The sequence below is a fragment of the Homo sapiens genome, chromosome 14 (assembly GCF_000001405.40).
Source record: "Homo sapiens chromosome 14, GRCh38.p14 Primary Assembly".
NCBI lineage: Eukaryota > Metazoa > Chordata > Mammalia > Primates > Hominidae > Homo > Homo sapiens.
This window is the reverse complement of record NC_000014.9, coordinates 97,525,938-97,543,693: the sequence shown is the minus strand read 5'-3', so window position 1 is coordinate 97,543,693 and position 17,756 is coordinate 97,525,938. Positions and strand designations below refer to the sequence as shown.

Here is a 17,756-nt window from a genome sequence, read left to right as displayed (position 1 = left end):
AAAAAAGGTGTTGATGAAAAGGACTTTTGAGTTTATGGAGTATGAACAAGAACTCAGACTTCATACTCTCAAAATGAAAAATAAAAGCTGAAGTTTTCAGCTTGGGTATGCATGCAAATTTTTTGACTTTTGGTGCTTTCTGACGAAGTACCGCATGGAAAAAAACATAGCTCCAGCCAGTTGGACAAGAGAGATGTAGAGGAGGTTTTAGATCTCTTTAAGGAAGGAGCACTACAGTCCCAGGGCTGGCCTGTCCCCATGTATTAGGGAAGTACTTAAAGATGCATAGAGAGGACAATGTGATTATTTTAAAGGTCACGGGTCTCGCTGAGATAAGGCTAAAGTGGTCGCCATCTAGCCATGCTGAATTGGATTATGGGGAGATTCTGTTCAGGTCAATTCATCAAGGATTGTCTAGATTAGACATTCATGAAAGTACTGCTGGTAAGTTTGAAAAGGAAACTTAAAATGAAGACAATTATGTAGCTCTTTCAGAATGTTTTATGCAGTCTAAAGATACTATTTTTTGAAAATTGTATATCTGTGACTATGCATAGTCTGAGAACACGTGTATAAAAAAACCATCCAACTGCAGAAATATCAGGGTTCCCATTGAACCATCACATGCAGGTTTGGGGGCCTTAAGGGGAACATTATAAAGAGCACTCCTTCCCCCCATGTGATTTGGAAACCATCAGTCACAATGACACCTTGCTTCTCCAGCAGCTCGAGGAGAAGGAGGCTTCTATCTGCAAGTGGGTGGACTCCCTAGCACGTATCTCCCAGAGTGGGTTACTGCAATCACCGTTTCCCGAGGAACCTAAGACAAAACTGACCACATTCAGGAACACACAGAACTCACATTCTCTGGCACAGGTAGCTTTCTATGACTTTTCCATTTATTTTTAAATAAATGAATAGAAGGAGACCTGAGCCAAGCATCCCAGGGTATTCGTTCCAAAATTCCCAAACAGTTTACCCTTAAAGTAAGGCAAATGAGGGGACAGAGAGAGGCCAGTAGTGCTATGCTAGTGAAATCCCCGCCACCTGGGATAAAACTCCAGGAGAAGAGAAAAAGTACCCCTCCTCCAGCAGCAGTTTGAAATTGGGGCACTGGCTTTCTCTAGAATACAGAGGCAAGACAAGTCCCAAAGTTCAATTTCAAATGGGCCTCCAGCCCTGAAGAGGCAGGCAACCGGGGGTCACAGGGTTTAGAGACCAGGTCCTGGGGAAAGTGGGTGGGAGAATCGGACACAATTACCCTGAAGAAAATATTCAAGAACAACCAACGTGTTTCAAATCTTTTTTTTTTCTTTCTTCTTTGCAGGGGTGAGGGAGCTGATTTGATTTGTTCTCTGGAATTCCAGATGGAAAACCAGGAACAGCGGTGGAAGCTACAGGGAGACAGACTTCAGCTCAATGTCAGGACAAACTTTTCAGCAGTTGGGTGCACCCGAACAAGCTGCCTTGTGAGGGAGTGAGGACCTCTTTCTGGAAGTGTGTTAGCAGAAGCTGGAGGGCCCTCTTTCTGGGATGCTGTGAAGGGGTTTCCTGCTTTGGGTGGGAGGGAGAACCAGATGGTTTTGAGATTCCTCTGGGAGGCTGCATTTCTATGTTTATGCCCTTTCCTGAGACAGACTTGGAGTATTTTGGTGCCTCCTGTGCTTTGGGTATGAAATTCAAAGATGATGCCTGCCCAACTCTTAGTAAGCGCATAAGGTCCAGAAAATGCAGAGTCACTGTCTACAGAGAAAACGCCCGCAGTGCTCAGTGTAATCCAATCACCCTTTAAATCTCATTACCTGACACTTTTGACGCAGTGGCCAAAATGGCGGATAATATTTAAGAGTGCGTGCCATTTACTGATCTAAGTAGCTTTGTACTTATGAACTATTTCAATCTTCCCAACAGCCTCATGAGGCATGACTAGCCCCTTTTCCCAGGGCACTACTCTAGCACGAGAGGTTAGAAACACATGCACGTCTACACACTAGGAAGTAGTGGAATTAGGACCCAGAACTAGGCAGCTTAGCTCTGGAGCCTGTGCTCTTAGCTGCTGTGGTGAACCGTGTCAGCCTCAAGCCATGTTCTTTTATCGACCTGAGCTCACAAGATGCTTTTCCCCATGCAAAGAAACACATACTCCTCTTTTTTCTTGTCAAACTACTCCTGCTTCAAGATTCAACATGGGCTTCCCTCTCTCTTCTTCATGCCCAACTGCGCTTCAACAAAATCACTTGTAGTGTATTACTTCTTTGTCTGCCTGTTTCCCCCACCTGCCTGGGGGCGTCTTAAGAGCAGTAGCTGTGCACTTTTGGTGCTGACGTTAGACTGGACAGAAAATAGACAGCAAGTAAATGTTTGTTGAATGAATAAGCAAACTGATCTCAAACTGCGTAGACAATTTCTTCTGTTATATGCTTCAATTGCTTTAAATGATTACAGTTTTGGCTTTTGGGGTTTTTGTTTGTTCATTTGTTTTTTATAGGGTCTTGCTCTGTCACCCAGGGTGGAGCTCAGTTGTGTGATCATAGCTCACTGCAGACTCCAACTCCTAGCTCAAGCAATCTTCCTACCTCATCCTTCTGAGAAGCTGTGACTACAGGTGTGCGTCACCACACCTGGCTAATGTTTTAAGTGTTTTGGAGAAACAAGATCTCGCTCTGTTTGCCAGGCTGCTATCAAACTCCTGATTTCATGCGATCCTCCTGCCTTTTCCTCCCAAAGTGCTGGGATCACAGGGGTGAGCCACTGCATCCAGCCAAATACTGACATTTTTAAATGAAGACCTGTGGCAGATGCAGTTTAGGTGTCTGAAAGTCCCTGAATTCTGATTGCCTGTGTACAGGTGCACCTTACCGGGAAAAGATTATGTCACACGGATATCAGTCCAAGTTTTTTGAGATGCAGATGCCCAGACAGGAATAGACATGCAAAAGATTTCCTTAAGGAGATGCCTAGGATGCGGGTATGCAAAGGGGGTGAAGGGAGACAGGTAGAACCGTCTGGCAGTGACAGAGATCTGATCCATGTGAAGCAGAAAGGGAAGGAAAGAAGGTTGGGCAGAAATGTCTGCATCTGTAGTGCCGTTGAAGGAAATACTGCAAGGCCCTGAAGGAGTCTTCAAGCAAAGCTGCTGGGTGAGGAAGTCCTGGGTTTCGCAGGAATGGGCCTGCTGTGTTCAGTCTTTGGCCAAGAGCATCCTCTGGGACATGTGGCCTGAGAACTAACATAGCGGTTGACAGATTTCAGAGCATAGCAGCTGGAGCCCTTGGTCAGTGATGCCCTGGAGCTCTGAGAGGTGGGTCTTCATGTCCACCCCACCTTAAGTCTCAAAAAGATCAATAACTCTCAGAACAGTGAGGAAGCACCGCTGCACCTGTGGGACTGGGCAGTGGCCCTATGGTTTCATTGTGACGTTTTCAGGGAGAAAGTAGATGCCAGCATCTCCTACAGATTCCAGATTTTTATCCCTTGAGTGATACCAACTTACTCTATCACCTTGACCCAGCCACATTACAACTTCCAACCTCAGCTTCTCCAGTCCAAATACAATGTGGAATGTTGAAGAGAGAGCCATTGGATTGCTGCCCAGGACAGAACTGGCTGAGACATCTATGTACAGGTATGGAGAAGAGATGAGTCATGCTGACACTTAATGGGGATGGGAAGTCTCAAAATGCCACTGACACGACCAGTGTGCATCATTGCTAGTGCTTATTTGTACCTACAATTTGCCAGGCACTCTTCTAATCACTTGACATGTGCAAAATCATTTAATCTGAACTCTTCCTTTTCCGTCCTCCCATTTTACAGATGAGAAAACTGCAGCACAGCGGCATAAGTAACTTGCCCAAGGCCACACTCCTAATAAGTTGTGGAGCTGGGTTGCAAACTCAGACACTCCAGCTCAAGACCACGCACTTAAGTACGAGGCTCTGCCAAAGGGAAGGAGAAAGTAGAACCAGAATGTCCCCAAGAGGTGGCCTGGGAAGATGGTGTCATCCAGATGTGGAGAGAATTTTCCACTCAGCACGTTCAATGAAAGAAGCTCCTGCTGGAGCCAACAGCACAGGAGACAACGGCAGGGCTGGCCCTGGGCCAGCAGAACCTTGGCCTTCCTCTGCACAGATTGCATCTTGATTGCAGGTCTTCATCCAGCAGCCACATGCGAGCTTTAGTGAGACTTTAAACCTTGTCACATTATATTAGTCCATTCTCATGCTGCTGTATAAAGAACTGCCTGAGACTGAGTAATTTATAAAGGAAAGAGGTTTAATTGCCTCACAGTTCCACATGGCTGAGGAGGCCTCAGGAAACTTACAATCATGGCAGAAGGGGAAGCAAACGTGATGTCAGGAAGGAGAAGTGCTGAGTAAAGCGTGAAAAGCCTCTTATAAAACCATCAGATCTCATGAGAACTCACTGACTATCATGAGAACAGCAGCATGGGGGTAACCACCCCGTGATTCAATTACCTCCCACTGGGTCTCTCCCACGACATGTGAGGATTATGGGAACTACAATTCAAGATGAGATTTGGGTGCGGACGCAGCCAAACCATATCACACGTCATCAGCAAACTTAACATTTCTCTCTGTGTGTAGGTGTGTGTGTTTAAAGCTAGAATAAAAAAAAAACATTTCAAGCTTGTGTTAAGACCATTTTCAAGATACAGCCCTGGAGAACGTGGTGGGGTTTCCCCCATGGGTCCCTAGTTAAAGAGTGCCACATAAGATGCCCCATCAGGCGACGGGGCCCTGCAGGGCCCACACCCTAACCAACATCATGGTGTAAGATCAACAGATAGATCTGTTGTTTAACTGCATCTCCAGGACATTTCAAGCAGGGTGGAGCTTCCTGGGGGACAGAGATGAGGGGAAGCAGCCCCACCTTTATTCATTCAACAAATACTTACTGAGCACCTATTATGTGCCAGCCATTGGCAGGTGCTGGGGGAGCATCAGTGAACTTGTAGTGGAAGAGACAGAAAATAAAGAGAAAAATAAAGGGCAGCATATAAGAAGAAAACAAAAGCCAGTGAGAGAAGATAGCAGGAGGCATGGAGTACCATCCTCTAGGTGGGATGGCCCAAGTGGCATTCAGACAGAGATTGGAACAGGTCAAGAGCAAGACTAGGGGCTGAGGGAAGGGCCAGCATGAGGCGTGGAAGCAAGAGGGATGAAGTGGAAGAAATAACCATGGAAATGGCAGAGGCGGGCTGTGGAGGGGCTTGAGACCTCGGTAGGGACTTGGGTTTTTAACCGACAGCGATGCTCAGTTATAGTTTGGGGGTTTTTTCTTAAATAATAGACTTTATTTTTAGAGCTGTTTTAGGTTTACAGAACAATTGAGCAGAGAGTACAGAGAGTTCTCACCTACTCCTCTCCCCTCACACAGTTTCCACTAAACGTCTTGCACTAGTGTGGTTCATACGCTAAGATCGATGAACCAATATTCACACATTATTATTAATTGAAGTCCTTAGGGGATATTGGGGTTCACTCTTTGTGTTGTACATTCTGCGGGTTCAAATAAACGCATAAGTGTCACATATCCACCCTGATGGCATCATCTACAATAGTTTCACTGCGCTAAAAATCCTGTGCTCCCCTTGCTCACCCCTCCTCCTTCGCCCTGAAACTCTGGCAACCACTGATGTTTTTACTGTCTAACTTTGCTTTTTCCAGAATGTCAGATAGTTGGAATCATTCAGTATATAGCCTTTTCAGCTTCTTTCACTTGGTAACGTGCATTTACATTTCTTCCATGTCTTTTCATGGTTTGATAGCTAATTTCTCTTGATTGCTCAATAATATTCCACTGTATGGCTGAACTCCAGTTTGTTCATCCATTCCCCTATTGAGGGACATCTCAGCTGCTTTCAGTTTTTGGCAATGATGAGTAAACATTCGTGTGCAGGTTTTTGCTTGGACATTTGTTTCCAGTTTATGTGGATACAAGCTCAGGTGCACGCTGGCTGAATCATAAGGTAAGACCATGTCTAGCTTTGTAAGAAATTGCCAAACTGTCCTCCAGAGGAGTGATGGATCTGATCTGGGGGTTAGAAGATTCATTTGACTGCTGGTGGAGAAAAGAGACCAAGCAGGCCAAGCTGTAACCCTGTGGGCTAGTGCAAAGTGGGTGCAGCCTCTGCAGGCAGGAGCTGGCAGGAGCCAAATGACTGGGGACACAGCAGAGGGTGTGGTGGAAAAGCACTGAGTTTGAGGCTCAAATCTGTTTCACATATGGCCTATCCATAAACAACCATATTTGTACATAGGTGCTGCATTTTTAAAAGGTTCTTGAAAACCCCCACCCTGATGAGCTTTGGGGTGACTTCCAGCTCTGTGATTAGAAAAGGCTTCGTTCAAACAGCAAGCAAAAGGTTCAAAAAGCTCCTTTTTCTTTGCATAGTTCAAGAAGATGGTTTGTATCGTATCTAAACCTAACAATTTAGCAGGATTTTCCTTTGTAGTAATTATGTGATGATCAATGTCTCTGTCTTTCCTAGGGGGAAAACCTACTAAATATATGTTCTATCTAAAATTGTTGTTTTTATTGTTATAAACCAGGACAAGTGAGGTGCTGTTTCATATTTAGCAACATATAATTTACCTCTTGTACATCTTCCTTTAAACTTATGGTTACCTTGTCTCAAGGTAAAGAGCGGCAAACAATGAATTATTGTCATTATCTTATAATCAAGTACAGAGCCGCCAACAATGGATGTCATTATGTTCTAATGGGGAAATAACCAGCCAATTCTACAGTGGTCATTACGGCAGCAAAAATTAATAATGTTCTGACTTTTTTTTTCTCCCCTTTTTTATTTTCAACACCAATTAAAACTGTTTTCAAGTGTTTCTTCCTACATTGTCTGAATCCCAGTTAGCAAAATGATTGTTTAGCAAATGTGATCTGGCAGCAGAAACCGAGGGATTCTGTTCCTTTAATTGTGAGCCAGTTAAAGGGAAGAAGAGTCTTTCTATTTTCTGGGGCAATGTGTACTTACCTGGGAGAGGAGGAGCAGCGAGGAGAAGGAATCTCTGAGGGCTGGCAAGGAAAAAGTGAGAACTGTATGACACTATTATAAGTAACGCAACTCATCAATCCTTGTATAACCTCATGAAATAAGTATTTTTAGCTTCCATTTGCAAATGAGGAATCAGAGGCTTACAGAGATGAAGTCATGTCTCACAAAAACGTAACCAGGAGGTGCTGGACCTCAGACCTATGTTCTGTGGGTGGGGCCTCAGGGCCAGCAAGCTATACCTTATATTATACCTTATCCAGCAAGCTATACCTTTCCTTGCAGTGTGTGCATGCTTGACCCACATAAGGGCATTCATGCAATTGTTTCATACCTTTTTGATGTAAGTTTTGTGCATAGATTAATAACAAGTCCCCTGGCTAGGAATCTACTGTGTGCTAGGAGCCATTCTAGCAAACAAGGGACTTCCTGCTTCTGGCCGCGCTACCAGCTGGCTCTGTCTCATCCACACAACTTTGTTTGGATTGTGTCGCACGCTCTTAGATCAGGGGTCAACCAAATATGGCCTGTAGACCAAATCGGCCCTGACATCAGTTTTTGTAAAAAAAAAAATAAATTTTATAGATATAGAGCCATGCTCTTATTCTGGATGGGTTGCCAGATTCAGCAAATAAAAATACAGAATGTTCTGTGAAATTTGAATTTCAAACAAACAAAACAATTTGTTCAGGAGAAGTATGTCCTATGCAATATTGGAGATATACTTATCCTGAAAATATATCCATTTGTTTATCTGAAATTCACATTTAATGGGAGTTCTGTGTTTTGTGTGGCAGGTCCTCACATCTCCCTGGATTCCAGCTCCATCACAGAGTCTTCCATTCCCAGCTTGGTGGAAGGCGGATATCAGTCTCCTTTCCTTGGACCTCTTCTGGGCCACAACATGCTCTCACCACCCTTGGAGAGAAGATGACCCCTCCTGACCCATGCCCAGGCCATGCCTGTCTAACCCCCCATAAAGAGCAGGCAGGACATCTTAGAATGGCCCCTCCAGGCTCCTTGTTCACAAATGAGCCACCTGGGTGTAAATGTGACCTGTGTTTTCCAGGCATCCTGAACTGGGGCTAACAGCAGATCACACAGGGCTCCAAAAGCCATATGCATATCTGTGTCTGCTGATCCCTGGGATTGAGGTAACTCAATTCCCATCAAAGTGCCACCCTGTCTGGGAGCTGCCGCTGCCCTGATTCCTAGATCTCCACCGTCCTCCTCTCCAGGAAGTTGCCACAGGGCTGGGAATCCCACTACCCTGTGGAATCTCTGTTGCCACAGAAAGCTGAGGGGAGAGACTGCACTGATCTGTCTCCTGCTGTCTATGGAAATGGCTGTCTGGTGTCACGCATCCCGGTGCCCTAGAACTAGCTGGGCCCACTGTGCCCACTGCCCGTCCCCGAGGCACTGAGCCTGGCCAGCATTGTGGCTGCCTGCTCCTTAATAAACACTTTTCCAGAAAGCATGTCTGCCTCTTGAAGTGGGGTCCTGGAGGCTCAGCCGCCAGCCTTTCACAGTAGTCCAGCTCTCCCTGGATCCTACGTACCTGATCAAAGCCAAATAGCTGAGGAATGTGTTTGACTTTCAAGGTCAATGCAGATATTAATCAAGACAGGATTCTCGGCACACATAAATAGCATGGTCTGAGTGGGAAACAGTACAGTGGAGACTTCTTCCTGTTCACTGCTGTATCTCCAGTGCCTGTAAGAATGCCTGGCACCTACCACATACCCAAAAATCTCTGCTACTTTAATGACTGAAAGAATGAATGAATTAACAAGTGAACAAAGCTTAGAAACTGCCTAGTTTAATGGTTACTAAATGTCTTTGAGTCACAGATCTCTGGAAATCTCATAAAAGTTGTGAACACTCTATTTTGGAAAAATGCGCATCCACCTCAATTTTGCATGCAGTTTAGTGGGTTCACAGCTCTCTCTGAAGGACTAGAAAGCTCCTGGGTACAAATTGAGGACCTCATTCAGCCCCTCTTCAGGGTCTAGATGAAGAAACTCAGGTGTAGGAAGAGGAGGAGAGTGGCCCAAGGTTTCAGGGCTCCTGAGGGTCTCTGCAGTGGGACTTGAGTCCCGCTCCCTAGCTCACTTCCTGTCTCCCCACACTAAACACCACTCAAGTCCTTCACCTTCTCCTGTGCTCCCAGAATGCATAATCAGTCCTTCGATTGGCCGGGTGGTTGAGCATTTCATTCAACTTATATTAAAAGTTCTGATTTTAATTTTTCTAATATTCCCATTAATAACATCTGTTAAGCCATCAGCTGGTTGCCCAATGTTAAAATGTCTTTGAAACAGAAAATGAATGCAAATAATTAAAAGAAAAAAAACCTGGGGAAAGCTATCCATTTGTCAGGTTTGGCATAAAAAATGTCTTGAAATGCAGTGTTTGGGATAATAAAATATCTGAAGTTTTTTTTCTAATAAATGAATTCCAATAATAATCGTGTCAGTTTATGCAAGTTCCATCATTCTTTCTGGAGGCACCGTGATAAATCTTTCATGTATACAAAAAGCTCTATTGAGCTACTGAGCGTCTACTCCATGTCAAAATCCCGTCTGGGCAGACACTAAGAAAACAGAGGTGAATAAGAGATGCCTCAGCCCTCAGGAGGGTCCCAGTCCAATGAGGGAAAAAAGAAAACTACAAGACACCGAAGGGGCATGGTCTGTGCTGTGAGACAGGGACATGCAGGGCTGGATTCTGAGGCTCGAAGCCTCCCCTGCAGCCTCACGTCAGCATGCAAGTAGAACGGGCTTTGGACATGCTGTGGATAGTCTCCAGTGGCCAGAGTTGAGAATATTGCAGGAGTTGTTGGATACAAGAAGGCTGGAGAGTTAGACAGGGCCAGTTTAGGGACAGTCAGTGAACCTACCTCGACATGTTTCTAAGAGATAGCATGATGCCATGAGCCGAGCACAGAGACAGCACTTGGGAGAGGAGCTGATGGGGGCAGAGAAGGGGCACGGGCTTGTCTATGACAATCTGCGGAGGAGAGGGTGTGGAAGTTAGTAAGAGGGACCTGGTGAAGGTCCAAAGGGGCAGTGTCCAGCCCTCAGTACAACCCTGGCACTGTGAGGGTTGAGTCCCAACCGCCCACTGTGACTTGGTTTCCTTTGGAGACAACGGGTCTATGGTTGGTGCATCCATGCAATCCACAGATATTTATAAAGGGCTAAGTGCCAGATGCTCTTCCACAATCAGCCACTACTCTTCTATTTTTCAAATGAGGAGAAGAGGTGGTCAGAACATAAGCCCCTGTCCAGCAGTGGACAGGTGGAGGCAGCTGGTGGAGCTTAGCTGCAAGTGGAGGCCATGGATCCAACTCGCAGGGAGGAGAGATTTGCCCCACAGGGAAAAGGAGGGCCTGTGAGATGAAAGGGAGACATGCCCCTCGGGCCTTGCCTTGGGGCACTTTGCAGGCTGTGGGAGAAGAAGGCCAGGCTTGTCTAAGGCATCCCCAGAGGAGTCAGGAGCTGCTGGATTCCAACCTTGGGGTTAAGTGAGAGAACAGGGCACCGACAAGACTTAAGGCCAGTGATTAGGAGACGTGCGTGGACTACAGTGAAAGCCAGGTGCTCCTCACTGTGATGCCCAAAAGACACTTGAGCTTGCTTGAGCTAACGATATTCTAATCTCTAGGGTCTGAATGCTTGTGTCCCCTCCAAATTCATACACTGGAATCCTAAAGGTGATGGTGTTAGGAGGTAGAGCCCTTGGGAGGTGATTAGGTCATGAGGGTGGAGCCTCCATCAGTGGGATTAGTGCCCTTATAAAGGAGGCCACAGAGAGCTCCCTCACCCCTTCTACCATGTAAGGACACAGCAAAAAGCTGTCCTCTATGAAGAGGAAAGGGGACCCTCACCAGACACTGAATCTGCCAGCTCCTTGATCTTGAACTTCTTAGCCTCCAGAACTGTGAGAAATAGGTGTCTATTGTTTATAAATTATCCAGCTTATAGTATTTTATAGCAGCCCAAATAGACTAAGACACTAATGGTTCAAATGAATGACCCAGTACTGAAATGGATCTGAGTGCCCCTCCAAAGAAAATCTACAGCAGTCCATGTTGGCTCCAGCAGCCGCAGTGGCCACAGCACCTGCCAGAAACAGACCTGCCTTGCTTTGGTCTTCACTGGGAGCCAGAGCTCAGAGTGTCTCTGAGTTAAAGAAGGGAAACCAGGAGAGGCTGGACATTGTCCCCAAAGTGCAGAAAGGAGACGAGAGTCCATGGGGCCACTGCCAGTGGAGTTGCTTTGAGGGTTCACTATGACACCTGCCTGACTTCTTGGGGCAATCAATTTCCCCTGTCCATTCTCCCAAATCCTCCCCTGTTAAACTGGAATGGCAATGATGATGATGATGATGATGATGATGATGATGATGATGATGATGATGATACTAATGACAATACTAACTTCATAGGATTGTTCTAAAGATAAAATAAGGAAGGGCATGCACCCTGCCTGCACTGTGTTTGGCACTCATTTGGTGCTACATGAATGAGAGCTGTTATCAACAGTATCATTGTTAGGTAGCATGGCAAGTCTGCTTTAAAACAACATACTCTTCAAGCTATCAAATCTTTGATGAACGGAGTTTCAAACACACAGGCTTGCTTACAAAGAACTTGCAGTTCTTTAGGGAAGACAGAGGTGGGCATGAATGAGGTTCATGAGACTGTGAGTCTGTGGTTGGTGGCCCAAGCACTCCACAGGCATTTATAAAGGGCCCACTAAGTACCAGGTGCTCTTCCACAATCAACCCCTACTCTCCCATTTTTCAAATCAAGGGAAGAGGTGCTTTACAAGGTGCAAACATACATTTAAAAAAAGGACAGATAAAGCACCACAGAGATGGATATGCAAGACAGCAGCCTCTGACAGGAAATGCATCTGTGCCCTAGGCCTAGGGGATGCCCAGAGCCTGGATTTCTGATTGGGAATCCCACTCAGGACAGTTCTGGGGAACTCCCTGAACTTCTCCATTCATTCATCCCTCCGTTGAATCAGTCGTAATATTTATTGAATGCCTGCTATAAGGCTGAAGGCAGATAGAAAACAAGAAAGTCTTTGCCTCCTTGCCTGTTATGCTTTCCATTTCCTCGTGTGTAAAACAGGGCTAATAATATTGCATGTCTTACAAGGCTACTGTGAGGACCAAATAGAAGATGCCATGGGCAGCCTGGCACATGCTTGAGGATTTGATAACAGCATCTTTTAAAAGCAGTGACCAGTGGCCGGGCGCATGTCTCATGCCTGTAATCCCAGCACTTCGGGAGGCTGAGACGGGTGAATCACCTGAGGTCAGGAGTTCACAATCAGCCTGACCAACATGGTGAAACCCTGTCTCTACTAAAAATACAAAAAATTAGCCAGGTGTGGTGGTGGGTGCCTGTAATCCCAGCTACTTGGTAGGCTGAGGCAGGAGAATCGCTTGAACCCAGGAGGCGGAGGTTGCAGTGAGCAGATTGTGCCATTGCACTCCAGCTTGAATAACAAGAGCAAAACTCCGTCTCAAAAAAAAAAAAAAAAAAAAAAGCAGTGACCAGAAGGTATGCCATTGCAATTGTGCAAATAAGATGAGACTAAACTGACTGTATGTCCGTTCTGTACTCGAATGCCAAAAGTCCTGGCTTTTGGTGAAAAACCCAGCCATATGAGCTTTTAACAAAATGTGAATGTAGGCTGAGTTTGAAAAATTAACAATAGTGATAATAATAATAGCTGTGGTCACATTGATTATATAGCTACTGTTTCTTGAGCATGTACTCTGTGCCTCACACTGGGCACATTTTGCAAAACCTTTGGCCTGTAATCCTTAAATTCCATGCTGTGAGTTCTGCTGTTGAGTTCTGCAGATGGGAAAACAGAATTTTAGAAAATTTAAGTAACGTACCTGAACTTTCACCACCAGTAAGTGGCAGATCTAAAATTTGTATTCAGTGCTACCTGATTTTACACCATTCAACCTTTCTGCAGAATTATAATAATTAACATTGCAGGTTGAGTATCCCTTATGTAAAACGCTTCAGAACTGAAGTGTTTTGGATTTCAGATTTCTTCAAATTTTGGAAAATTAGCTTTATGTTTACTGGTTGGGCATCCCAACTCTGAGAATCAAAAATCCAAAATGCTCCAATGAGCGTTTCTGTTGAGCATCATGCCGGCACTCAAAAAGTTTCAGATTTTGAATTTTCAGATTTAAGATTCTGTAGGAAAACAGCCTGTTGCATGGCAAGAGTGACGCTATCTTGAAGCAAAACCCCCGCGATGTCCGATGTTTGATTCCCGTATACCAAGGGGTTCTGCAGTAAGTCCTTTAAACAATGCCTGTAGCATAGCTAACCCCTCATAAAGATGCTTATCTAACCTCCTCAGTAGTCACAAGTCTTGGCAAGAAAGTGTGAAGACATGATCAAATGCACATGTTTTACCCTAAAACTTGCTATATAAAGAATACTGCCTGGCTTGCCTGTAGTTACGGCTGCTGAGAGGCTGAGGCAAGAAGATCGTTTGAGCCCAGGAGTTCTGGACTGTGGTGAGCTATGCTGATTGGATGTTGCACTAAGCTTGGCATTGATATGGTGACCTCCAGGGAGTGACTGGGGGACTACCAGGTTGCCTAAGGAGGAGTGAACTGGCCCAGGTTGGAAATAAAGCAGGTCAAAACTCTCGTGCTGAACAGTAGCAGGATTGCACTTGTGAATAGCCACTGCACTGCAGCAACGTAGTGATACCCTGTCTTTTAAATAAATATGTTTATATATACTTTCCGGAAGGCAGATGCAGGGATCCACCATCCTCGGCTGCTTGAGATATGGCTTCTCATCATAAGTTCCTATTAAATGTTTCTTTCTGAGAAACAAGATTTTTCAGCCTCTTTTCTCAGCCTCCCAGCTTCTTCAGCCTTTGGAGGTAGGGTTGCATAGACCTGCTCATCATGGAACAGATGCTCGACCTATATAATAATTATTTCTATTTATGTGGCACTTTTTTCAGTTTTCAAATTTTTTGATAGCCCTGATTTGATTTGAATTCTCCAACAGTCGAAAAATGCAGATGAAATTCCCATTAAACAAAAAGGGAAACAGGTCACAGACTTGCTGGAAGTCTCGTGGCTCAAATTTGGAAGAGAGTGGGCTTGAATTCAGGGTTGTGGTCACCCAGTACAGCCTGGCCCCCAAAGTCAGCTCCTTTTCCTCAATGCTAGAAAATAATAAACTGTAAAAGAATCTGATAGTTGTTTTTCAATTATTTAAAAGTTAGTATTTATCTTATCACAGTTTATTTTACAATGAGATTGAAGAAATTAAAAGTTTAAAATGAGCTCACCTCAACTGAGAAAATAATATAATAAGATAAATGGTCCCATTTTAATGAAAATCTCCCATGCACTCTTATGACCAGGAAGCACTGATGGGGTGGTTAAAACTACATTAAAAAAGACCAGAATACATTTTAATATTTCATTCCATTTTGCAGATTAAAATATATGCAAATTCAAAATTTAAGTAAAGTAAAACTGCCAAAGCTTTAGTTGGAGAAGCGCAGTTGCTGAAACCAGTTGCAATTTTAGGAGCCCAAGGTTGGCACTGATCAACAGGCAAAGATCCTTAGGTTTGGTGACATAATCTCTCATTGCCTTTAACCAATGGCTCTTACCTCCACTACCCCAGGGACATCTGACAATGTCTGAAGACAGATTTGCTCATCATAACTAGAATCTAGCGGGTAGATGCCAGAAATGCTGACCATCCTACAGTGCACAGGACAGCCCCACCACAAACAAGCCAGCAGTGCTGAGGTTGAGAAGCTTTGCCTTAATCATAAGGAAGAGAACATTTTAATGAATGCTCTCAGAAAATGGGATCCGAGTAAATATGGCAGCTTGACCATCTTCACCAGTAGAGGTATTTCCCCTTGATTTTCCCCCTGTCACCCTATGATCTCACAAAACAAAACAAGAGCTCCTACATTCACCCAATTCCTTTTCATGGCACTAACTTCCTTTCTCCTCCTATACAGTATTTGGCATCTCTCCAACCAGCCCTGTTCATAAGTTGCAAATCTCTCCTCCATTCCTGCCCCTGTACCCATGGGCTCATGCCTGCCTCAGCCTAGTTGCCCCCAGAATCACATCCACACACTCATACATACTCACACATGCATATGCACTCCTGCACACACTCCTACACTTGGACTTGCATGATTACACACTGACACACATGCAAACATTCAAACACACTCATGTACACTCATTGACTCACACTTACATATCCATATGCACCCTCACACACATATCCATGCTCAAGTATGTGCATACACTCAACATACACACACACATACACACACAGACACACATGTTCATATTTTCAAACACACACTCAACGTGCACAAAGATGTGCACACACACTGACTCTCACACATGGATATGCTCTCTCACACATGTGCACACAATCACACACTCACATGCATGCACACATTCAAACACACTCAACATGCACACACACATACTTGCATACACACTCCCACACTCTGACACGTGGCTGCACTCTCATACACTCACACATGCACACATATGCTCACACATTCAAACATACTCAGCATGCACATGCATGTGCGCACACAGACACACGCTCATGAACACCCCTGATGCTGCTTCTAATCCCTCGATTGGCCAATCCCTTATCCAAAGCCTTCTCAGACCAGCCTCTGCCCTCTCCTGGGCTAGCATCCCTCCTCTGAGCTCTGTTTCAGCTTGGGCACATCTCTGTGATAGGCACCACCCTTTGCCTGCCTGCATGCCTATCTCCCACACCAAACTCTGACCTCCTGAGAGGAATGCTTTGCTCAGCAGCTAGTTAGTAGGCAGTAGGCAAATGATAATTGAGGAAACCAATAACTGAAGGGTAAGGCCATGGCAAGGCTCACCAGGACTTTCACTGAAGGGGTTGGAGCATCCAAATCCCCCTAAACCTGTACATGGTGACTAGGGTGGGGCCAAGCAAGTTAAAAATTCATTATACTGGCAGACAGTTAGTTACTAAGGGAGCTGGTGCTACAAAAACGCTTCTATTTGGAAATCACTGAAATGTACCATTTTGTTGAGTTGAGGAAACCTTTGGTGTCACCTAAAGCTCTGTGCCTCCCACCCTCACACCAGGGCCAGACATCCAGGTGATCCTCAACTGACTCCCTTCAGTTCTTGTTCCTTTTCTCTGCCGGTTTTCCCCTTCTGTGGTCCACAGCATAAAATGCAGAGGTGACTGTCTGCAGTCCTCAGGTCACTCTCTCCGTCTCAGTAGCTAAAAGAGGTATCTTGCCCAGGCCCTGGGAGCAGGCTCAGGTTAACCAGAAAAGCCAGCATTATCAAGCCTGAAATACCTAAATCTGCTTGCTTTTTTTTTCCTCGCCTTCACATTTGCATGGAACAAGCGAAGCTTTTAGCCTCCGTGGCTCAGGAAAATGCATTAAAAAGATGAACATTTTAGTTAATGTTCTAAGAAGATTTCCAAAAGCAGTTTTGATTGTGTACTATTAACATTAATTAATTTCCAGACTGGGACCAGCCGCTCTATTAGGGGAATGCATATTTTAATCAATTTCTCAGTGCTGCTCCATGCTGGTTAAAGGTAATTCAGTGGGCTTTGTCTGCCCCATCCCTTTCATTTAACCCAATGCACTATAGAAGCCCCGAAGCTTATGAATGCAAGCTGCAAAGGCAAAGCTGACCACAAGCCAAGGAGTCACATACGAAGAGCTACTGGAAGCCAAATGACTTTCTTCTGAGATGTAGGCACCTTTCTCTCCACGGGGACTGGGTGAGGTATCTTCGACACAATTAGTGATTGTGCTTCCCTTAGCCCTTAGAGTAACTTTATGCATGTTAGAAACCACCAAAATGCCTTTTCTTCTTGAAGAGTGCAGTCCCATGGCAAGTGAATGGATTGAAAGGCAGAGAGAAGATCTGATGTTGTTCTAGCGCCCTTGCACAGTGAATGCTCTGTGCAACTGTATGTAGCAGCCTTGGTTGGTGAACATGGACTTTATTGCTGACCTCTGATGGGATGCTGTCCCAGGAAACTCCAATCACTTTTGCCTTCAAGGTGGATGTTCACCAATGGCTTTGTGACATTCTTTATATTGGTTTCAGTGTTTCTTAGGTGACCATGTGGACATCTCCTATTTTTTCCTCCCCTGGGAAATTGTAAATTCCTTCAGACTCAAACCCCACATCAAATCCCACTTAGAATAGCCAGTACCTTTTACACAGATAGTGGGTAAATTACTGTTCCTCGAGGATAAAGCCCAAATAGTTTTTCATACGTGACACTATGTTACCTGTAGACATCCACTATTTCTCCTCTCCTTCAGTCTGTGTGTGTACAAAGAAGATGCAAATGAATGCATGCAACCGTGCGTTAGCACGTGAGCAGATACGCATTTGAGTAAAGCAGAGAAAGAGATGTAGGCATATACATATGTATTTAGGCAGGCATGTATGTTTAATGTGAATATCTTGTATGTGTCAGTAGGTCTGTAAGTTTATGTTGAAATGTACATACGTCAACAAACAAAAAAATGTACAAACCATATATATATGGGTTTACATCTGTGTGTGCACATATGTGACCATGGACATGTTTATGTTATGTGCAGAAGTATGCTTACACATCCAAATGAGTGTGTGTTACAGA

The 17,756-nt window shown here is 44.7% G+C and overlaps 1 long non-coding RNA gene across 1 annotated transcript in view, besides 4 other annotated features; it reads right to left on the bottom strand.

The window, feature by feature from the left end:
• The window catches only part of LINC02325 (long intergenic non-protein coding RNA 2325), a 122,568-nt gene that overhangs the window by 37,690 nt on the left and 67,122 nt on the right, over positions 1–17,756 (bottom strand). Inside the window, exon 3 of the long non-coding RNA NR_110166.1 lies at positions 7,016–7,056. This is a non-coding gene — a long non-coding RNA (long intergenic non-protein coding RNA 2325). The remainder of the gene's footprint in view (positions 1–7,015; positions 7,057–17,756) is intronic.
• Positions 779–1,978: an enhancer, noted in NCBI's record as "MED14-independent group 3 enhancer chr14:98008053-98009252 (GRCh37/hg19 assembly coordinates)". NCBI's record gives its function as "activates an origin of replication core promoter dependent on BRD2, BRD4, P300/CBP and CDK7 cofactors, and independent of MED14, by STARR-seq in HCT116 cells {active_cell/tissue: HCT116}" and the evidence as "EXISTENCE:reporter gene assay evidence [ECO:0000049][PMID:35650434]".
• Positions 8,403–8,904: an enhancer, noted in NCBI's record as "H3K4me1 hESC enhancer chr14:98001127-98001628 (GRCh37/hg19 assembly coordinates)". NCBI's record gives its function as "activates a minimal SCP1, AML or CMV promoter by ChIP-STARR-seq in primed H9 embryonic stem cells {active_cell/tissue: H9 hESC(primed)}" and the evidence as "EXISTENCE:reporter gene assay evidence [ECO:0000049][PMID:30033119]".
• Positions 16,775–16,944: an enhancer, noted in NCBI's record as "experimental_38982 CRE fragment used in MPRA reporter constructs". NCBI's record gives its function as "activates a minimal promoter by MPRAs in K562 erythroleukemia cells, with activity observed for the non-introgressed 14:97993172 or rs76265996 variant allele {active_cell/tissue: K562}" and the evidence as "EXISTENCE:reporter gene assay evidence [ECO:0000049][PMID:34662402]".
• Position 16,859: a transcriptional cis regulatory region, noted in NCBI's record as "Neanderthal adaptively introgressed variant 14:97993172 (GRCh37/hg19 assembly coordinates) or rs76265996 in the experimental_38982 CRE". NCBI's record gives its function as "modulates activity of the experimental_38982 enhancer by MPRAs in K562 erythroleukemia cells {active_cell/tissue: K562}" and the evidence as "EXISTENCE:reporter gene assay evidence [ECO:0000049][PMID:34662402]".